The sequence below is a fragment of the Homo sapiens genome, chromosome 14, assembly GCF_000001405.40.
Source record: "Homo sapiens chromosome 14, GRCh38.p14 Primary Assembly".
NCBI lineage: Eukaryota > Metazoa > Chordata > Mammalia > Primates > Hominidae > Homo > Homo sapiens.
Window position 1 is genome coordinate 101,313,892 of NC_000014.9, and position 23,216 is coordinate 101,337,107.

Genomic DNA, 23,216 nt, shown 5'->3' on the forward strand with positions numbered 1-23,216 from the left:
GAGCAGCACTGGACTGTGTGACTGGGCATCTTCCACCATGTCTGCATGCATGTGCATGCATGTGTATGTGAGGACATGTTGTCAGACTTGAAGTGCACCCCCTTCTGCCCTCCTGCATGGGTCTGCGTGTGCACACGTCTCCCCGAGAGGACTGGTGTGCCCATGTGGGTGTCCCTCCTTCTGTGTGTCCCATGTCCCTGGGTGCGCCTGTCCGTGGCTCTCTATGTGGGTGGCTTCCTGAGCCTTGTTTTACCTGTTTAAAAAGTTACAGAGACAAATAGCCTAGATTTAAAACTGAATAAAAGATTTTAACAGCCCCTTCACCAAAGAAGTCATACACATGGCTGGTAAGCATGTGAGACTCAGCACCATGAGTCACGTGTGAAATGCAAGTGGGAAGCCTCAGTGAGATACCACCGCAGAATACCAGGTGCTGGGGAGGATTTGCAGAACCTGGAACCGTCATATATTGTTTGTGGACAAGCAAAATGGTCCACACAGTTCAGAAAACCGTTTGATACTTTCTTTTTCTTTTCTTTCTTTTTTTTTTTCTTGAGAGGGAGTTTCGCTCTTCTTGCCCATTCTGAAGTGCAATGGCGCGATCTCAGCTCACCACAACCTCCGCCTCCCGGGTTCAAGCGATTCTCCTGTCTCAGCCTCCCGAGTAGCTGGGATTACAGATGCCTGCCACCATGCCCAGCTAATTTTTGTATTTTTAGTAGAGACAGGGTTTCATCATATTGGTCAGGCTGGTCTCAAACTCCTGACCTCAGGTGATCCACCCGCCTTGGCCTCTCAAAGTGTTGGGATTACAGGCACCACACCCAGCCGACACTTTCTTAGTAGTTAAACATACACGTACTTATCCATGACCCAAAAATCCTACTTGTAAATATTTACCCAAGAGGGATGAAAAATGCACGTCTACAAAATAACTTATATACAGATGTTCAAAGCACATTCATTCCTAATAGCCCCAAACTGGAAACAATGCAAATGCCTACTTGCTGGTGATTAGAGCATATCTCTGCAATAGAACACTACTCAGCAATAAACAAGAACAAACTACTGATACACACAGTAACATGGATAAACATCCCAAAATATTATGCTGAACGAAATCAGCCAGACACAAACAATGCCTAAGGCATGAGCCCATCTTTTCACAGAAAGCAGTGCAGTGGCTGCCTGTGGCCACGGGATAGGGAGAGTTGACTATGAGGTCACATGGCAGAACTTTTGGTGACAAATATTTCACTAAGATTAGTCAAACCTCATGAAATCACACCTCAATCAAGTCAATTAAAAAATATTTTAATGTATACTAGAATAGGTGGTTATTTTGGGAAGAGATAGAGTATCTTCAAAGTAAGTGAATAAACCCTGTTCCTTATTGTTTATTAATAATTATGGTTTGCAACTATATCTTTCACAATGGAATGGGCTGCAAGAAGGCCAAATTAGAGAAGCAACCAAAAGCATAGAAATTCAACATAAAAGTTCCAAACTGATCATAAAATTTAGTCAACAAATGAGAAGTGCCTATCTAAAAAGATGATCATTTGAACCAGTATTGGCATTCTTTGTCCTGGTGCCCCTGGCCAGTGTACATTGGTGTAAATCAGCACCCCAGGATGAGTGAGCTTGAAAATCTACGTCCGAACCTTGCCTAGTTACAAACCAGATGTGTAGCCTCAGGCAAGTCAGTTAATGCTGGCTCATAATAATTCTAGACTTCTTGGTCTGAAATATGTAATGCTATCGTAGGATATAATAAATTCCTCTTCAAAGGTTTTAGCCTGTAAATTGTTAAGTACAATGAGTTCTGAGATCCTCTCCAAAGAACCAACGTATCAGTATATTCAGCTCCCCTGTTCTTTGTTCTTCATTTTAAACGTTAACTTCCTTGTTCTTTATATCTCCTTGGCCCTAGTCTCAGTAAACAACCCACCAGTTCTAATCAGTAGTTCACATCTGTTCCCCTGGTCACCTGATCCATCCTGAGTCACCCTTGGTCACCTGCTCTGTCCTGAGTCACCCTTGGTCACCTGCTCTGACCTCAGTCATCCTTGGTCACCTGCTTCATTCTTAGTCATCCTGAGTCACCTGTTCTGTAACTGTCTTTCCCGCCAAACTACTCTCCCCGCCACTCCAGCTCTCTTTAAAATAGCCAATCAGAATTAGCCTAGACTGTGTGGTCCAACCCTAGCCAATAGGGGAAAAACACAGCAGTAGGGGCTACCTACATCAGGGATAAGAACCCCTTTCCCTCCCTTATCCAGGTGTGCTCTTGCCATTGCTCCATCCACGAGGTGCACCCTTCTATAGAAACAAAATTGCCTTGCTGAGAAAATTAAATTTATGTCTGGGTGTTATTTCTTTGGTGGCACTGAAAATTTATTTCTAACAAATTTGCGGGTCTGCCCAGGATTCCCATTCTTCTCTGGGGAAGGGTCCCATCCTCTCCTGTGAGGAGGCACACCCTGCTGCCACGTTGTGGTGGCCTCAGAGGTAAGGAATTGGGACCCACCCAGTGCAATGAATAAAGCCAGAATCTCAGCAATGCAGGAAGAAAAGGCCTACAAATACATACCATGGTGACCAGGTAACTCTGTGTACAGACCAAGGTAAGAAATGCCGCGGGGATGGTGAAGTATTTCCTTGGTGGTTGGGACCAATATAAGAAAAGCTGCAGGGCAGTGAAGTATTTCTTTTTTGGGACATATCAAGGTAAGAAAAGCCATGGGGGGCAGTGAAGTATTCCTTGGTGGTCAGGACATCCTGGAGGTTGAAAGTGTGCGAGTGAAACACACAGTTGAGGGCGGAGCAAGTACAGAGTCCGGATCTGGTTCTGCAATCACCTCATACAGCTTATCCTAAGAAGGACCTGAAAATCCCCACAATGGAAGCAGACGCAGAAGGATGACACAAAAGCTGGAGGGTGAGAGGTTAAGCCCTACAGACTCACTAGGGTGCAAGAAATTTCTAATAAGAGAGATTGAGCCCCATGGACTCAGGGAAAAACACTTTCTCCAGGATGGGAAATATAGCAAGTAAAGATAGGAAAGATCATGATCATGATAATATCCCCTCTAACAGTCCCCTAGGCCTAATGTTAGAATGAATATTAGAAAGATGATGGAAGGACCAAATACAAGAAAAAGCAGCAAATGATAAAATACTGCTGTTTTATTTGGACTAAAGAACCTTCTTCTCCCCCAAGCAGCTGCCACCCCAGACCCTTCCGCTAAACCTAAAAAAAAGGAGCTTAAACCACTCTTAGATGCCCCTTATAGAGTGGCAGATCAAACTGATCAGTTTTAGGGCCCCAGTTGTATACTTGGAACAAGTTAATGTCTGTCTTAGGCATCTCATTCTCAGGAGAAGAGAGGAGCATGATACGCAGGGCCGCTATGACATTTTGGGAACATAAACACCCTCCTGGTCAGAACGTCCCAGCAGCTGAACAAAAATTCCCAGCCCAGAATCTTCAATGGGATAACAACAATATAGCCCATTGAGGAAATATGAAAGACCGTAGGGAGATGGTAATAAAAGGAATTTGAAAATTGGTGCTCTGCACCCAGAGTCTTACCAAGGGCTTTAATATAAAACAGGGAAAAGATGAGGGACAGACAGAATTTTTAGAAAGGCTTAAAGAGCAAAAGAGAAAATACGCTGACCTAGAATCAGAAGACCTCCTTGGACAAAGAATGTTAAAGCTCCACTTTGTCACCAATAGCTGGCCAGACATTACTAAGAAATTACACGGCAAATGTTTCAAAAGTGGAAAAATAGATCACTTTTAAAGACAATGTCCCAAATGGGAAAAGGAAGAAAATGTCATCCCACTTATGGCTTTTGAAGAAGATTAGGGAAGTCAGGGGTGCTAGCTTTTTATCTTGAGTCCCACCAAGAACCCTTGTTAAATTTAGAAGTGGGACCTAAACCTAAGCTTATTACCTTTTTAATCAATTCAGGAGTAACTCGCTTCTCAGTTTATCTTCCATCTAGTGTAACTTGTTCACAAGGATAACTTTTTATCTCCAGGGTAAAAGGAGAGGGGTTTAGAGCAAAAATCTTAGAGCAGACAGAAGTGAAATTTAAAAACTGATCAGCTAGTATTAAATTTCTGTTAATTCTGGAAGCAGGGACAAATCTATTAGGAAGAGATTTAATGCTAAAATTAGGCTTAGGCCTCCAAATCAATCATGGAAAATTTCTCCCCTCCCTAAATTTGCTCACCACCACAGACAAAGAACACATTCATCCCGAGGTATGGTCAAAAGACGGGAATCGAAGAAAGTTACAGATTCCTCCGATTCACGTTAAATTAGAAACCCCTGGGGAAGTAGTAGAGAAAGCAATATCCTATTCCTTTAAAAGCCAATGTAAATTTAAAACCTATAATTGATAATTGAAGGTCTTCTACGTGATGGGCTTCTTAAACTCTATATGTCTCCCTGTAACACTCCAATACTGCCTATAAAGAAGCCAGACGGGTCCTACCGGTTAGTGCAAGACCTTAGCGCTGTTAATCAGATAGTCCAAACCACCAACCCTGTTGTTACTAGTAATTGCCCTTGTCCTAGCTTTTCTCTCCCTAGAACTGCCCTTTCATCTCTCTGTCAGTGTAAACAAGGGTGTAGTCTTAGAAGTACTTACCCCAAACACAGAAGCCACTGGCAACCTGTAGCCTTCCTATCAAAAATCCCTAACCTCATAACCCGCGGATGGCCCAAATGCATTCAATCTGTAGTGGTAACTGCTTTGCTAACAGAAGAATGTAGAAAAATAACTTTTGGAGGAAACCTCATTGTGAGCACACCTCACCAGGTCAAAACTATCCTAAGTCAGAAAACAAAAAGGTAGCTTACTGATTCAAGAATCTTAAAGCATGATGCTATTCTGTTAGAAAAAACATGATTTAACATTAACCACTGACAATTTGTTTAACCCAGCAGGTTTCCTAATAGGAGATCCAAATCTAAAGAAAGAGCATACATGTTTAGATTTAACTGATTACCATACAAAGGTATGACCAGACCTAGGAGAAACTCCTTCAGGACAGGACGACACTTATTTATAGACAGTTCCTCCCAGGTGGTTGAGGGAAAAAGACACAATTGGCATTCAGTAATCGATAGAGAAACTCTTATAGAAATAGTGTTAGGAAAATTGCCTAATAATTGGTCTGCTCAAATGTGTGAGCTGTTTGCACTCAGCCAAGCCTTAAAGTACTTACAGAACCAGGAAGGAACCATCTATACCAATTCTAAGTACGCCTTTGGAGTGGCTCACACACTTGGAAACATTTGGACTGAATGAGGCCTTATTAATAGCAAATGGCAAGACCTGGTCCACAAGGAATTAATCACCCAAGTATTAAATAACCTTCAGTGCCAAAAGAAATAGGTACTGTCCACGTCCCTGGACACCAAAAACGCCTTTCTTTTGAAAGCTGAGGAAATAACCTAGCAAATCAGATAGCCAAACAGGCTACCGTTCCTTAGCTGTACAATTGGCCTGCTTTGCAGCTAGGTAAAACCCAGGACACATGGAGTTAAATGCTAGAATGGGCCAGACCTTATCTACACTTCTGTCTAGGTCCTAAGCTCTAAACCCAGCACATAATTAAAATCCCAAACTTCCAAGGTTTTCAACAAAAGTAAAGTTTGCTAAAAGTTAACAGTGTAACATGTATCATTCTAACTTCTAACCTTGTGGCCTTAGGCAGTCTAGTCCACAGACATGAAGGAAGTTTGCTTTGGAAAAGAATGGTTATCATCTTTGACATTAAAAAAAGAAGAGTTTATGTAGAAAGAATCTTATATGGTAAATTCTTATCCTAAAATAAATTGACTGGTTGTTTAAAGAAAGGGATGTTTACAACAAGTCAGAAAGTTAAGGCATGTCAAAGATTGTCTGTGGAAGTCATGAAAAATGTTATTAAAGAGAATTTATGCAAGAAATGTTGCATAATTTAAAAGTAGGCCTCCTCGCTGTAAAACTTTTGAAGAAACAGTTTATGTGCAAGGTGTGTAAGGAAAGTAAAATATACTTTTGGTAAAAGAATTATAAGGAGGCATAAGAATGTGGATTTTTACCTACATTAAAAGGTTAAAATTGTTTTGAAGGTTTAAGCAAGTTTTGAAACGTTAATTGTAGAGGAAGTTCTGTGTGTAAACATATTGGCTAAAGTTAAAGGGGTATCATCCAGTTTTTCTGTAAACAGGACATTTAAATAAAAGCACAATGGGTTTTTCTTAAAGCACTAACTTGTTCTTTAACAAAAATTATAAAGGGTTAAAAAGAGTCGCTAAAAATCTTACCTTATGGTTAGACATTACAATTGGATAAATATGTCTACAAGATTTTATTAAAATCGAGTTTAACATTAATAGCACACTAATAGAAAGGTGAAGTTTAGCTGATCTGGTATAAAACCATACAGGAAGCATTGTCGAATATAAAATGCTGTTTGGCTTTCTTTGGTCAAAAAACTAATAAGAAATAGGTGCTAAAGAGAATTCAGAAGGAAAATGGATATTGCCAGACCAGAAAGAAGTGTTATCCAAACCCCTCATGAGGGAAATCTTGTTCCAACTGCATTAAGGGACCCACTGGGGGCCCCAAGCCATGTGTGATGCAGTCCTCAGGGTTTATGGGTGCATAGGAATTTATAACCTGGCCAAACAGGTTGCAGACATTTGCTCAGTATAAAAGAAAACCAATAAACAAACTATAAGATTACCCCTTGGGGTAGGAGTCCAGGCTTAAGGCCATTTCAAAGGATCCAGATTGATTATGCAGAGATGCCTCCAATTGGTCGTCTAAAGTATTTATTAGTAATAGTAGATCATCTTACTCATTGGGTAGAAGCTACTCTCTTTTCAAGTACAACTGCTAATAATGCAGTCAAGGCATTAGTTGAAAATATTATACCCAAGTTTAGATTAACAGAAAACATTGATTCAGATAATAGGACTCATTTCACTGCACATGCCATTAAGAAATTAGCCCAGGTACTAGATATAACATGGGAATATCATACTCCCTGGCACCCACCTTCATCAGGAAGAGTGGAAAGAATGAACGAAACTGTTAAAAAGCCGCCTAGCTATAGTCTTAGAGACTCGGGTGCCATGGACTAGATGCCTTCCCATTGCCCTGTTGAGAATCCAAACTGCTCCTTGGAAAGATGTTGGCTTAGCCCCTTATGAAGTGTCATATAGGTTGCCCTGTTTGTACTCCACTGTTGACCTTCCCACTTTCAAAACAAAAGATCGATTTCTCAGAAGTTATGTACTTGGTTTATCTTCCACTTTCTCTTTCCTCAGAACTAAAGGTCTTTTAGCACATGTACCACCCCTAGAGTTTCCAATACACCAGCATCAGCCTGAGGACCACATCCTCATCAAAAGTTGGAGGGAAAGAAAACTCGAACCGGCTTGGGAAGGACCCTACCTAGTGCTTCTAAACACCGAGACGGCGGTTCGAACAGCAGAGAGAGGATGGACTCATCCCACCTGGGTCAAAAGAGCACCACCCCCTCCAGAATCTTGGGCAGCTGTTTCAGGGCCAAACCCAACCAAGCTAAAGTGAAAACAGGCTTGATCCTCTTATATTGCATCTCTTTCTTTTCCCCTTCTATTGCTAGTCCTCTTGTTATTAATGTAACTAGGTCAAGTTCACCCCAAACCATTACTTTTGATGCTTGCCTTGTGATGACCTGTGGAGATTTTCCAAACCAGAGAAAACTCTCCACTTCAAAAAAGCTCCTTTATCCTTCCTAGCTCTCCTCAGACTGGAAATCTGTTAACTGGGATAAGTTAGTTTGGGAGGAGTTTGACGAAGATTCCAGTATGAACTGGGAATCTTGTCCTCCTAGAACACAGCTTCTCTGATGAAGTTGGTCCAATGCTCTATAAAATACTAAAGAAGAAGGTTGGACCACCCCAACTAGTATTTGCAGTTTCCTAAAACCATATATTCATTTTACTAAAGGAGTTTACCCTCCCCTTTGCCAGCTGAGCCAGTGTAATCCAGCACAGATGACCATCTCTGCTCCCCAGAGTTCTTCCCCTTTATTAGGCCATTTCTGTGGTGTAGGAGCAGAAGTCTCAGGGAAGGACCCCATAGGATCTTTTGAAATGTGCTTCATTGCCTTGTCACCTCCTGCACCCCCTTCTCCCTCTCCTAAGTTCTCTGCTAACCAAACCTTCTCTTGTTATATACCCAATGATAAAACCAAAGTAGCTGTTGTAGAGGTTAAAGATTTAGAACAAACTATAGCAATTGAAACAGGGTATCAGGATGCAAATACTTGGCTGGAATGGATTAAATATTCTGTTTGCATGCTAAACAAAACCGTCTGTTATGCTTGTGTGACAGGCAGGCCAGAGACCCAAACTGTCCCCTTTCCACTTGTGTGGTCCTCTCATGGACCAGGCATGAGCTGTATGGTAGCTCTCTTCCAGAACCCCACAGCCTGGGGCAATGAGTCATGCAAGACTCTTTCACTGCTGCTCCCTGAGGTCAAGAGCCCTGCGGGTCAGCCCCCGAGGGCCATCCGGCCTCCAGCCCCTGATGTTAACTTCACCTCATGCCTTTCACGGAGGGAGGAAAAGTTAGCATTCCTTGGAGACTTAACAGGGTACAGCAAAACCAAGCCTTTTCAAGAGCTTACCAATCAGTTTGCCCTTGTTCATCCTGGAGCAGGTGCATGGTGGTATTGCAGGGGACTATTGCTGGGTACTCTGCAAGTAATTAGAGCAGCACTTGTGCTGTAGTCCAAGTGGCCATCCCTTTCACCCTAGCATTCCGTCAATATGATTAAGAAAATCGTAAAAGAAGAAGTGTTCCACATGGGTCCTTTGACCCCCATGTTTATGTAAATGCTATTGGAGTTCCTCAAGGAGTACCAGACAAATTTAAAGCTCAAGATCAAATAGCTGCAGGATTTGGCTCAATATTTTCGTGGGTGACAATAAAAACGTAGATTGGATGAATTACACCTATTATAATCATCAGTGGTTTGTTAAATACACCAGGGATGCTGTCAAAGGAATAGCAGAACAATTGGGGCCCACTAGCCAGATGGCCTGGGAAAACAGAATGGCCCTAGATATGATATTAGCTGAAAAAGGTGGTGTGTGTATTATGATTAAAACTCAGTGTTATACCTTTATCCCAAACAACACTGCCCCCACTGGGAGCATAACAAGGGCCTTACAAAGACTTACCGCTTTATCCAACTTGTTAGCTAAAAATTCTGAAGTCAATAACCCTTTCTCAGGATGGCTAGAAAAGTAGTTCGGTAAATGGAAAGAAATCATAGCCTCAATTCTTACTTCTCTTGCAGCTGTAATAGGTGCACTCATTCTTGTTAGGTGTTGTGTCATACCCTGCATCCGTGGGCTGGTGCAAAGACTTATAAAAGCAGCACTTACTAAAACCTTCCTTAACTCTCCTCCACCTTATTCAGATCAGCTTTTTTCTTTTAGAGGATTCAGTCGAGCAGCAAAGCCAAGACATGTTAAAAAGATTTGAAGAGGAAGGACTATGAAAATTGGAAGGGGGGAAATTGTAGGATATAATAACTTCCTCTTCAGAGGTTTTAGCCTGTAAATTGTTAAGTACAATGAGTTCTGAGATCCTCTCCAAAGAACCAACGTATCAGTACGTTCAGCTCCCCTGTTCTTTGCTCTTCATTTTCAAGGTTAACTTCTTCGTTCTCCTCGTCTCCTTGCCCCTAGTCTCAGTAAACAATCCGCCAGTTCTAATCAGTAGTTCACATCTGTTCCCCTGGTCACCTGCTCCATCCTGAGGCACTCCTGGTCACCTGCTCCGTCCTGAGTCACCCCTGGTCACCTGCTCTGACCTTAGTCATCCTTGGTCACCTGCTCTGTTCTTAGTCATCCTGAGTCACCTGTTCTGTAACTGTCCTTCCTGCAAACCACTCACCCCACCACTCTGACTCTCTTTAAAATAGCCAATAGGAATTAGCTTAGACCGTGTGGTCCAGCCCTAGCCAATAGGGGAACAACACAGCAGTAGGCGCTACCTGCATCAGGGATAAGAACCCCTTCCTCTCCCTTGTTCAGGTGTGCTCTCACCATTGCTCCATCTATGAGTCACACCCTTCTATAGAAGTAAAATTGCCTTGCTGAGAAAATTAAATTTATGTTCGAGTGCTATTTCTTTTACAGCACTGAAAATTTATTTCTAACACTATTTTTTTAAGAACAAGGATAAAATTAGCAACTTCCATAGTATCACAATAGCAGATTTTATTTATGAGGGTTAATGACAGGTACCAAAATCAAATAAGCAAGCAGGTTTGCTGGGGAGAATTTCTCCTGGTTTTCCTTCCTCTGCAAATGTCTTTATTTCATCTTCATTCCTGAAGGAAATTTTCAGTGGATAAAGAATTCTGTGTTGACGGTTTTCTTTCAGCAGTTAACAAACGCCATCCCACTGCCACTGACTCATGGGCCTGTGAAAGAAATCTGCAGTTGTCAGAGTTATTGTTTCCATAAAGGACAAGAAAGGACAACCACTAACACACGAGAGGGAAAAGAATTTTCTCCATTCTTTCTGACCTGTAGGGCCCCTGTTTCCTGTCTTTCAGACTAGAAACAGAGGGCTTGCCTTGGGATTTTTCTGTGCATAGTCAATATGTAATTCCAGGTTTTCAGCTGCCTTTGAGGTCAAATTGGAAGATACTGGAGGGAAAAGAAGAAAGATGGGTGTCGAATGAGACTCGCTGCTGATACAATAATTCTTTCAGTTCCAGCTTCCTCCTCCAGTCAGCCTGTTACCATCCACTTCCAGGAATCCTGAGGGCTGCCCCCTGTCTCCTGTCCAGGGCTTCCGTTTCACTCACTTCTTGGAGCCCCAGAGGAATGTACTTACCTAGTCTTGACCCCAGTCATGTTTTATTTTATTTATTTATTTATTTTTTAATTAATTTATTTATTTATTTTGAGATGGAGTCCTGCTCTGTCACCCACGCTGGAGTGCAGTGGCGTGATCTTGGCTCACTGCAACCTCCACCTCCTGGGTTTAAGCAATTCTCTGCCTCAGCCTCCCAAGTAGCTGGGATTACAGGTGTGCACCACCACGCCCAGCTAATTTTTGTATTTTTTAGTAAAGACAGGGTTTCACCATCTTGGCCAGGCTGGTCTTGAATTCCTGACCTTGTGATCCACTTGCTTTAGCCTCCCAAAGTGCTGGGATTACAGGCGTGAGCCACGGCACCCAGCCCCCAATTGTATTTCCATAGATTCTTCTCTGACACATTGTAAGTTCCATGAGGGCAGAGACCGCATTTGGCTTATTATCATTCTTATTATTCATCTTCTGGCCTTAGTTCAGTGTTTTTTGCACAGGAGTTACCCCTTAAAAATTCACTGAATCAATCAATCAATAGCAAACCTTAAATTAGATGACATTTTAAAGCAACTTACACAATGCTTGCCCATAAAGATGTTCGATATCAATAACTGATAACGTCTATTATTGCCTGCAGAGACTTGAAGCCTGCCAGGTCTAACTTGTTTAGTTTCTAACCAGTTAACACAGAGGCATTTGACACAGAGCGAAGAACTCCTGCAAGTCAATAATCTATGTAAACAAGTGAGACACCGCTCCAGAAATGTTATCCACAGCCCCAAGAAAATCAGCATTTATTGTGCCAAATCTTGTACATAAAAATACAAGAACTGTTTTGCATACACACACAAATACAAACAGTATCTAAATTGAAATTCTTGAAAGTGTACTTTTTCCATTTCTTATATTATTTCAGCCAACAGAAGGAAACTTACATCTTTCAGGGGGAACCCTTAGTACCGAATACTTTGAAAAGATGATGCCCATTCTTTTCTGCAAAAATTATATTGCAGAACCCCTCCCTGCCCCAAGGCAGGGCGTGCACGTTGCACAGCTCCAAGAGGATTCCCATGATAGTCTTCTGTGAATGGTGTGGAACCAGGCTCAGGCAGTCTGTGACCTGTGCAACAGCAATCACATCTCCAGTCCAGCCTTCTTCACCTTTTGCCAAACTAATGAGTACCTCTCAGTGGTAGAAACTAAACTGGAACCATTGCCAGAGAGCCTGGGAAATGGAGCTTCCAGACTTCTAATCCCTGCAAGAAGACCTCAGAAGGTCAGGTAGAGGATGGAGCAGCAACACACTATCTGCTATGTTTACTGAGACGGTCATATCGTCGGTCTCTTTTAACTGTTATTGCAGGAAATTACACTGATAGGTTCCCTAACCTCGAACCATCTTTTCATTCCTAGGAAAAATGTGATCTTCTAGTACATCGCATTCTTGTATTTGCTCATGTTTTAGTTGGAATTTTTTTGTATCATTTGCACAAGTGGGGTGGCGTATATATTTTCTGCACTAGTTATGTCTGGATTTGGTGTCAGGGTAATACTAGCTTTATTGAATGAGTTGGAGATCATCTTTTTATATTCTGTGGAATAGCTTTTATAAGTATAATATTAATATGAATGTCATTATTCCTTAGAAATGCAGAATATGCCTGCACAGCAGTGTGGGCCTGTAGTCCTCTGATTACCCTTCCATTTTTTTCTATGGGTTATCCTTCTCTTTAGACTTTTCCCCTTCTTTAGATTTTTTCTCCTCTTCTGAATTTTAGTTAATCTATTCCCAATTATTTCTAAATAGATTTTCATTTTCTTTCTTTCTTTTTTTTTTTTTTTTGAGACGGAGTCTTGCTCTTTCACCCAGGCTGGAGTGCAGTGGTGCTATCTTGGCTCACTGCAAGCTCTGCCTCCCGGGTTCACGCCATTCTCCTGCCTCAGCCTCCCGAGTAGCTGGGACTACAGCCACCCGCCACTGTGCCCAGCTAATTTTTTGTATTTTTAGTAGAGACGGGATTTCACCTTGTTAGCCAGGATGGTCTCGATCTCCTGACCTCGTGATCTGCCCGCCTCAACCTCCCAAAGTGTTCATTTTCTTTTTAACCCAAGTTATCTAGAATTTTTTCAAATTTGCAAGTAGATAGATTATTTTTTAATATGGCAGAGATATCATTTGTCAATCCCGACTGCGATCCTTGACTCCTTCCTGCTTTAGGGACCAGGCCCTCTGTTCAGCATGGCAGTGCGTCCTGCTCTCAGGCCTGGCTCCTGCTTCATTTAAGGTGGAACTCCTGCTCTTTTTCGTCAGATACTTAATTTCCCGGCCTCCCTTGAGATTGTTGTGGCTACGTGGCCTCATGTGGCCTCTTTCTTCCTGCTTTGGCTGTGAAAATACAACACCTGGAGTTAAAATAAAACTTAGAAAGTAAGCACAGACTATGGGCTATGCCTGAGCTTAACTCCTGGCTGTACCAATTATTAGCTGTATGACTTTGGACAAGTTACTGAATCGCTCTATGCCTCTATTTTCCCATCTGCAAATGAGGAAAAATTACACCTAGCTCATGGACAGATGTGAGCATGTAATGTATAACAATACGTCAGGGGCTCAGAACAACAATTGGCACAAAGCAAGTCATACGAACTATCATTATCTTTATAATAATAATAGTTATTAATACTAGTATAATCATCATCGTCATCTTGGGACCATGAGGCCAAGACAATGAGAATACAGAGCAGAAGGAACGGGCTTGGATTCTTCATGAGGATGTTACACAGAGCCTGGAAAATGTACCTCTAGACATTCAATAAACAATACATATCGTTACTTTAGCTCCTCTGTTAATTTTTATTGGATGTGTTCTAATCAGTATGCCTCATTACGTTTTTCACTAATTCAGAAATTGATGCCAGGCACTATTCTAGGCTTTGGGGCTATAGCCACGGACAACAACAACGAAAACCCTCCGCCTCTTAGCGCCGACATTCTTTGGATACTAATTTCTAATTGTCTTCCGTTGAAGTCAGAGAAATTAGCCTAGTGAATTCTGCCTTGGGGACTTGGCTGAGATTTTGTTCCTAACAGGATTTTTGTAAATATTCCACAGGTGTTTGAAAAGAACACATACACACGCTCTTAGTATATGAGGAGTGAAGTCTAGGTTCAGGTTTTTTTTTTTTTTTTTTTTTTTTTTTTGAGACGGAATCTCACTCTGTTACCAGGCTGGAGTGCAGTGGCGCCATCTCGGCTCACTGCAACCTCCCACTCCCGGGTTCAAGCAATTCTCCTGCCTCAGCCTCCCAGTAGCTGGGACTACAGGCATGTACCACCACGCCCAGCTAATTTTTGTATTTTTAGTAGAGATGGGGATTCACCATATTGGCCAGGATGGTCTCGATCTCTTGACCTTGTGACCCACCTGCGTCAGTCTCCCAAAGTGCTGGGATTACAGGCATGAGCCACTGCGCCCGGCCCAGGTTCATTTTTTCACATATGGATGTCCCATTTTTCCAATACCATTGGTTAAACCGACTACTGACTATTCCGCCATTGAATTGCTGTTGCATCTTTGTCAATCCAAATGGCTGTATTTCTGGAGGAGAGGGGAGGAAAAAGAAAAGGCAAATAACGAAAATGTGCACCAGAAAAATACCAAGTGTTGACCAAAATGTATGGCCAAGATGTACCCAAGCAGGACTCTCCCTCCTGGCCGTTGCAAACTGTCATGGCCTTGGTTGCATCTGTCTGTTAAAGATTAACGAGCCCTTGGCCTTAGCATGTCATTCCCAGGTATGCCCTCCAGTAGACACGCTCACAGACATGCAACAAAAAGTGTAAACTACAATATTCCCAGCAGCACTGTTTGTAATAGCCCCAAACTGGAAGCTAACTACGTGTTCCTCATCAGTAGAGTAGATAAACTGTAGTACATTCATGCATTGGATTACCATATAACAACCAGAATGAAGGATTGAAAACCACAGGCAAGACTGTGGCTAAATCTGACTAAATGACTAAATGTTGCAACAAAAGAAACAGGCGCGAAGAAGGCACATACTGTGTAGCTCCGTTTATGTAAAGTACAAGAACAGGCAAAACTGCTCTGTATCATTGGAGGGCAGGCTAGTGATTTACCGTGGTGGGGAGCAGGGGAGTGGGGCAATTTCAGAGGTTATGGGATATTCTGTCTCTTGATCTGGATGCCAGTTACACAGGTGTGTTCCGTCAATGAAAAGGCATCAAGCTGTACACTCCTATGCACTTTTCTGCCTATGTATTATATTTCAAAGAAACGTTTAGAAAAGAGAGAGAACAGGAAAGGTAGTACTTCTCTGGAAGAAAATAGCTAAAGACCTTCACAGTAAGAATAAAATCAGCCCCATTTTTGCAAACAGGGGTGCAACACGCCTGCCTGCTCCATAAACAAGTGTCAAAGCCAAGCCCTCTGGCAGGCCCTCCCCACACAGTTATCATTAAGTTTCAGGTTCTAGAGGGTTACAGAGGTTGCTGGCAATGAGGCACAGGGCAGGACGTGCCTCTCATGAGCTTAAAATCTTGCTAAAAGAGAGGCCCCCCCACCCCATCGCACCCTCCAAAGCTGAAAGCACAAGGTTCCAAGTAATTCAGGGTCCCCGTGGTAAGTCTCAGCTCAGAGTCACGGGAATTCTGCTTGAAGACCCACATGTTTCCTGCCTAACACATTGTCGTCATGAGATTGTCTGCACCAGGAGGACACAGCTCTTTTTAAAACCAGTCATCTTGGACCGCACCACTAAGGCAGTGTGTCGTTAAGGCAGGCTGTGGACACCAGAGTGGTTGTTAAGGAGCCAGGCTAAGAAGAGCTTAATGTATATGTCTGTCTATAGTATTGACATTTCGTGCAATTTCCAGAGCAGCACAGGGCCCCTGCAAACTCCTATTGGGAGGAAGGAAATTGTCTTTTTTCTTTATGAGAGTGGAAAATTGTTCATTCTCTCCAGGAGAAGCCACAGGAATTAATATTCTCAAAGGCACGGAAATGGCCTATAGATAGGAGTTTTGCCTGCCTCCTCTCTCAATCTCTCTCTCATTCTTTTTCTCTCTCTCCACTGCCCCCTTCTCTTTCTCTCTCCTTCCTCCCTAGTTCAGAATAGGGATGGTGAAAAACTAGGCCTGTATCCTTCAATATTATTAGCAGAGATCAGGGACAGAGAAAACTCCCACTCACCACCCTAGACCCACACGTATGCATCAGGAACATTCTAGCTTCAGAGGTGGAAAGCAGGCATTAAAGAGTGAGGTGAGACTAGGGCTATAAAGCTTTCAATCATCAAGAATTAGTTAACTGGGCTGGGTGTCATGGCTCGCACTTGTAATCCCAGCACTTTAGGAGGCCAAAGTGGGAGGATTGCTTGAGCCAGGAGTTTGAGACCAGCCTGGGCAATATAGCAAGACCCCATGTCTCAAAAATAAATAAATAAATTTTTAAAAAAAGATTTAGTAAACTGTCAAAGCACCTAGATATCAACTTTCTTAATAAGCCATGCCATATAGCTGTCACTTTGGAATCAGGATGTTAAATAATAATACATAGTTGTTTTAATAAAGATTCTCATTTTTGCTATAAAGGAAAATATCTAGTATTGCCACTAGAAATACACCACAGAGTCAACTTAGAACCACTGTTCGAGATGAGGAACGATGCTTAGGCACTGTCTGCATTTCCTGGTATCTTGCCCTTTCTGTAGCGAAGTCTGATTGAATTGACAGAGGCTTAAATACCGAAAATGCCAAACAAAGCATATGAAATAGGGACAGTGTCCTGACCCCTAGCTACACTGTAAACAACGTGGGAGATGAAGGGGAGGAAGCTACGGAGTTCACTGGAGGGTGCCGCCCCTGGGGCCTTCCACCTCACCCCCACCAGGACTCTGAGACGGGAGCTGCCCACCTCCACTCACAGACAGGGCAGCCCGAGCTGCGAAGGGTTTTGCCAGAGAGCAGAACTGAGTTAGTGGCTGAGAGAGTCCACACTTTTGGCCTCTAATTCTGAAGCCAGTGTGCCTGCCTATGATATCCCCACCCGGCTGTCCCCTTAGAAAATCAGCTGGTATCAAATAACTCTTCAGGTGATCCAGACGGTTCTGGATCCAACAGGATCCGCAGAGGCATGCCGAGAGGCCCAGAGCCTTGGCCGCCCCCGTGGGAGCCGGCCTCCGGGAAGACCCGCTCCACCTTCTCCTTCTGCCCGACGGCTCCAGACCCTCCCAGGCATCCAGAGTCCAAGGGTAGCTCTTGTTGACTTCGTTCTAGTAAGAGATCAGTTTGCTGAAAATAAATGAATAAATAATAAATAAATAAATAAAAGCTCATTATCCAAAAGTGAACATTTTCAAAAGCCTCACAAGTGGGTCTCACCTCCATGACTTCTTCAGCACTGCGCACCCTCTGCATGGCCGCTGGGCCACTCTGATCCCTCCCACGGCCGCAGATGGCGGCACCAAGGGAGTTCCCTCTTGAGGAGTCTCAGCCCAAGAGCGAGTGCAGAAACGGGAAAAGTGGCTTGACAGAGAGGAGGAGGGAACAGCCACCAGCAGGCACCAAGAGTCCTCTCCCAGAGCCCTGGGACCCTGGAGCCCAGGCCTGCTTCCTTTCCGTCCTCACCCTGTAGAGGACTCAAGGGGGCCTTCAAAGTCTTCTCGTTGCTCCGTTAAAGCTCAAGGAAATACAGTGGAAAGGGGACAGGTTTGGTTTGATGTCTGTGTCAGTCTCCCAGGGATGCCGTAATTCACAAAGCACCACAGACCGTGTGCCTTACACAGCCGAAGTGTACTCGCTCACAGTTCCGGAGGCTGCAAGATCCAGACTGCAGTGTCAGCAGGACTGCTTCTTTCTAAGACTGTGAGGGAGGATCTGTCCCTGGCCTCTCCCGGCTTCTCCTAACTCACTGGTCATCCTTGGCCTTCCTTGGCTTGTAGAAGCACCACGCTGACCTCTGCCTCCATCCTCAGGTGGCATCCACCCTGAGTGCGGGTCTGTCTCCAAATTTCCCCTTTTGATAAGGACCTGTCCTATTGGACGAGGGCCTACCCCATTCCAGCATGACTTCATCGTAACTAATTACCTCTGCAACTACATTACTTCTAAGTAAAGTGACACTCCAAGGTCCTGGGAGGTAGGACCATAACATAAATCTGGGGGGAGGAACACAGTTCAACCCATAATAATATGGACCGAAGTCCAGCCTGCAACTCAGCCACTTACAACTCAGCCACTTTCCTTCCTTGGAGACAAACTGCAACTGCATCTGCCCACACCATGCTTCCTTTGGCTGTGAAATGGGAAGGCAGTGGCTGCTTGTCATGATTGTCATAAACAATCCAGGAGACACAGAAGCGCCTCTCAGGTGTACCACATGCCTGAGGCTTACCGTGTGCTCACAATGGTGTGGATGGCATTGTTCTCATTATCAGGCAGCTCTGCCAGTCTCTCCCAGCCTGAGAGAGGCCATCTCCCGGCCCCAGGTATAAACATCCTTTTTCCACACTTCCTGCCAGCATCAGTGACCTTCAGAAAACCCTTAGGGGACAAGCGGAGTGTTGAAGTGCTGAGAGTTGAAGAGCTCAATCCACTGCTCCAATGCAACCCGGGGCCAGAGCCGGCTTTTCTCTTTGACACTTTCCTAGTGGCACTGGCTGGGCACATGCTTGAAAGGAAGAAGTCATCTGCAAGGAGCTCTGGGCTGGGCTGCACACGCTGAAAATGCATTTATTTGATTTATTTTTACATCCAATCTTGTTCCAGAAAGGATTTGAGGGGCCACGTGGTGAATCAAATCCATTGCAACTTAATGGCTCTCCGCTTCGCACTTAGTGGGAGGGGGCTGAACAATTGGAAAATAGAAATAATCCCAAACTCCCATCTGATCCCAAAGGTGGCATCTTAGACCTGTTGCACATTGTTAAAGGCATTTTGTTTTTAAGCTACAAAGCTCAGCGTGTCAAGGTGATGAGGACGATGATCATGGCAATGATGGTGATGACGGAGGTGTTGGCTAACACGTGAAAGCTCGTCCTCTGATGGACCAGGTACTGTTCAAAGGAAGGAAAGGAAAGAAAATGAGGGGGACAAGGGGAAGAGGGAGGGGAGAAAATGGAACAAAGGGTTGGAGACCGTGTTAGAGACCCACAGTGTGGCCAAAGCAGTGTGCTCCTTACCCTCTAACCAAATCAAATCCCAGGAGAAAGCTCACTCATTCTTTCAAAGTTGTGACTTATTTCAGAGAACAATCTGTGGTCATAGGTGGATCATGTTAGTCGTTCACTTCCAGAAAGCCAAATCTGGACCTGGCTCTCACCACGAGGCTCTGATGACCTCTCCATTTGGCCCCTGGGAAGCCTTTGCCATATTAAATGCTGTCACCTCTGCAGCGAGCAGATAGGGAGGCGCTGCTCCAGGGCCATCCCCAAGGATGCCTTGGCCAGCTTAGGGTGTGAGACGGCACCTGGAAAACTGTACCAGTGAGGCCAGAGGGCATGCAGCTGCTTCCTCAGTGCCTGGCATCCGTCACACCTGCAGTGCCCCTTCCACATCAGCCACGTGTGGCATCCTACACGGCCACAAGTGCCACGTCTGCAACCAGTCACACTTAAGCCCTCTGGTGACCCAGAAGAAAAAGGGAGAAAAGTGGATGCTAAGCTGCTATTTGGTAAAGAGTGAATACGACTGCACTCACCACATGGGGTTGGGGAGGGGCTCCGATAAGGTGCCTGAGTCACCCAATGGGCACTTGTCCATAGCCGCAAGGATGTCCTAGCAGGGTGATCACCGGGTGCTCTGTTGAGCAGGTTCCAGGGTGACAACTCCTTTGGTTTGCTCACACATCGGTAGCCACTGCTCCTAGCAAGGCCCCCCAGCCCCACTTCCCATCCAGCACACACTGCTGGCACCCCCACTCAGCCCCCGGCACTGCCCCTGAATTTCTCTCATAGCTAGCTAGCTCTCCATTGGCAACGCTGGTGCCTGTCCCTGCCAGCAGCCCCAAGTCAGCACCATGCCCGGCTGTTCATTATTAAATTGAAAAAAGGAGGAGGGTCCTGCCTTGATTCCCTTCCAACAAAGAGGCTCCTTGGTGGCTATGCAAATGTGCCCACCTTCTCCTGGAACTTGCTGTGCAAACCGGCTTTGAAATTTCAGAGGGGCCCTGTGTCCCTTCCCCCAGGGGCTTGGCTAGCATTCCGTATCACTGAGGACTTGGCAGGAACCATGGAGGAAGGTCAGGAGCACCTGCTCCCAGTGCACATCCTGCCGAGATGGCCCACGAACCAGTCAGCGGCTCTTCTTCAGAAGCAATCTCAGGTCTGCCTGGCAGTCACAGCCCCACAGTGAAATACGCACCACGTCCCAACTGTGCATTCACATGTAATTCTCATCTCATTCTAAGTCTTATCTGATTCTCACCAAAAGGCTGAGTCCTGCTTGCCATCTGGGGAAACCGAGGCATGGTGAATCCAAGTGACTTGTCTTCTCATACATGGAGAAGGTGAGGTTGAAACCAGATCCAGGACACTGCAGAGACCCCTCTCATCCCTTTGACCTTTCCAGAAAAGGACCTGCAAGAGATAAAGTAGTTTCCGAAAGGCCTCCAGGCAGGGGAGGGGCCTCTGATAATACTCACAGCTCAAAGTTGGTTTGGAACAAAGCCCTCCTGGTGCCATGGCACTGGGGCAGCAAAGCGGGGCAGAAAATGATGGGAGGGGAGCCGCCTCCCAAAGGGCTGCAAACTGGGGTGAATTGAGGCTACTTAATACATTCAATCCATCAGAGTAATGCCTTGTAATTAAGATTCCTGGAAATGAAGTAGTACCGGGGCACTCCATGGAAGATCTGCCTTCAAACGGTTCAGGTCAGCCTTAGGCTCAAGCACGGCTCTAATTGACGGCTCCCCTTGGGTCTGAAAGAAAAGATGTAATCAGACCACACAAAGCACGTCCTGTCCAATTACAAGGATCGGCATGGATGGGCTGACCTGTGACCTATAAAACAAAATTAAGATTTCCAAACATCACCAGGAGGTAGGGGGAGAGATGGCTCGTCCGTGCTCCAGCCTTCCAACTCCCCAGAGTGGAGACAGAACAAAATCGTAGCCCTGGAAAGAAATGTGGTGGACTTTGATCAGCCATTGTGCAACCTTTCAGTTGGAGTCTTTCTGGGGGGTGGGAGGGTCAGGGGGACTAATGCTCAGTTTCTTGCACTGGATGTCCAGATGCGTTATCACAAAAGAGCATTTCTTTGCAGTTGAGCCCTAGAGTGCCAGGAAGCTAGTTCTCGAAACAAGCCAGAATCTCCAACAGCCATAGGACATGCTAATTACGTTTGGGGGCAGTGTGGGGATGCACTTGATGTCATGGTGGAAAACACCCCCATACTCACGCCTTATGGGACCTGCACTCTGGAGCATGAGGCCGACTGCCTGGGTTCTGGGGTGAGAACCTATCAACAGCAATTGAGGAATGTTTATCCATTCTTCTGTCTCCTGACTCAGGGAGCTGTGTTTCATCTTCCAGGAAAGAACTGGGCGGGCACATTGCACTTAGCTTATTCAACTATCAGGGACCTCCAGCGGTCGGGAGGTTGAGGAAGAGTCATGGGGCCTCACAAAGTCTTTGCAGAAACAGGCCTTTGCCTCCGCGCCGCCGAGCCAGGAGAACCTGCAGCGAGCAACTAGCTCTTCTTTCCTTCTCTTTTAAAATCAACACCCGTCCCCAGATTTGCTTTTGGCAAACATTGCTTAACTGCTGCTGTTTTCCCTGAAGTCACTGAAGAGAGAGTTAGATAATGAGCTGGCATGCTCTTTTGAAATGTTTACTGTGTTCCTTAAAGCAAGGGACATGCTGGTTCCTAAACTAATTTGGGGTTGCTAGATCTTTTCTACTCTTTTTGGAGATCTCCGAAGTAAACACATGGACTTAAGTATAATTATCCGAGAGTCAAATAAACAGTCATGGGGCTTTCTAAAGGATGAACCTTTGCAGATTTGTCGATAGAAATTTTTTCTCAATTCTCCCAACAGAAAGGACAGAGAATGCATGAGTATTAAGATAATGCACCATAGCACGCCCCAAAGATTTGAGGATAAAAGATCAGGTTGTCTTATTTTCAGTTCAAGGAAACCAAAGGTGATGACAGGACCTCAATGGCCATGGCATATGGGATAGACCCAGATAGTTAAAGAAAACTTCCTCAATGCAAACTGTTCTTCATAACGGAATTCACATTTGAAAAATTTCTGAGTTTCAACCTGGCAGGTTGCAAAGTCTTGTTAAAAAAAAAAAATTAAAGCTCAAGGCATCCAGTCATGTGTAATTTCGGTGAGAACTGTAATAAATGCATCCACGTAAGCCCTAAATTCCCACTGTCAAAATGAAGATCTAGGGTTAGCATGACATTTATATAAATCCCACTTGGTATTTTGGTTGCATGTTTTTCCAAAGGAGTTCAAAGGCATTTATAGACATTCTGATTAGTGCTTGTGATATCCCAGTGGGGTGGCAAATTCTATTAGCTCAGTTTTACATTTGGGAATAGAAAATCTTAAAGCAGCCAAATGGTTTGGCAAAAACCATATGGCATGTCACTGATAGTGCTTTGAGAAGAAAACAGGTTTTCCCAGCATCTCTCCCTGCTTCAGTCCTCTGTCCAATTTGCTTGCAGGATTTTTTTTTAATGTTAGATAATGTCATGGTGATTTTTAGAGTCTATGTAAAATCTCATCTACATTTGCAGCCTGCTGGGCCAATGTCCACCTGTGCAGGACAGAGTAACCTTGAGCCCCTCCCTTCCATTTGTTGGGAAGGACAGACCTCTCTGAATTGCTCCAGCCAGCTGGAAAGCTGAGCCCCCAAGCAAATAATGTCAAGAAGAGACGATAGGAGCCCAGAAAGTAATTCCCCAAGCCCCTTTTCCTCTGCAGAATGTTTGCAGGCTCCCCGAGCGTGAGGCATAATGACTTCCTCCACTCCCAGAGTCCAAACAAGAAGTGGAGAAGGAAGAACAAGAAGAAAGACGTGGGCTTGTTGTCTAGGGCAGATGGTGTATCAGGAACAGATGTCAGGGATGAAGAAGACACTCCTCAGCTCCTCGTTGGTTGCCATCATCTCTTCAAGAAGTACCTCAGACTGCAAGGAACAGAGTGAGCAGTGGCCAGGGGAAGAGGTGAGCAGTCCAGGACTGCCGCCCAGGGGAGGAGGGTGCTATGCTCCCAGGCCACGTGATTCCATTCCAAGGCATTTCAAGACCTTGAAGACAAAATTGCTCGACTCAGCCAGTAGTAACA

General features: G+C 44.5%; 1 long non-coding RNA gene across 1 annotated transcript, besides 3 other annotated features; it reads right to left on the minus strand.

The window, feature by feature from the left end:
* Nucleotides 1,501–2,700: an enhancer, noted in NCBI's record as "BRD4-independent group 4 enhancer chr14:101781729-101782928 (GRCh37/hg19 assembly coordinates)". NCBI's record gives its function as "activates an origin of replication core promoter dependent on BRD2, P300/CBP, MED14 and CDK7 cofactors, and independent of BRD4, by STARR-seq in HCT116 cells {active_cell/tissue: HCT116}" and the evidence as "EXISTENCE:reporter gene assay evidence [ECO:0000049][PMID:35650434]".
* Nucleotides 9,298–10,497: an enhancer, noted in NCBI's record as "BRD4-independent group 4 enhancer chr14:101789526-101790725 (GRCh37/hg19 assembly coordinates)". NCBI's record gives its function as "activates an origin of replication core promoter dependent on BRD2, P300/CBP, MED14 and CDK7 cofactors, and independent of BRD4, by STARR-seq in HCT116 cells {active_cell/tissue: HCT116}" and the evidence as "EXISTENCE:reporter gene assay evidence [ECO:0000049][PMID:35650434]".
* On the minus strand, nucleotides 11,661–21,602 carry LOC124903387 (uncharacterized). Its single transcript, XR_007064342.1, has 7 exons — nucleotides 21,314–21,602; nucleotides 20,950–21,029; nucleotides 20,748–20,834; nucleotides 20,342–20,493; nucleotides 17,300–18,972; nucleotides 14,322–17,209; nucleotides 11,661–13,282 (listed from the first exon to the last, which is right to left on the minus strand). It is a non-coding gene; the product is annotated as an uncharacterized LOC124903387 (long non-coding RNA).
* Nucleotides 19,547–19,747: a silencer, noted in NCBI's record as "peak2251 fragment used in MPRA reporter construct". NCBI's record gives its function as "represses an SCP1 promoter by STARR-seq MPRAs in K562 erythroleukemia cells {active_cell/tissue: K562}" and the evidence as "EXISTENCE:reporter gene assay evidence [ECO:0000049][PMID:32103011]".
* Nucleotides 21,603–23,216: the final 1,614 nt, after the last annotated feature.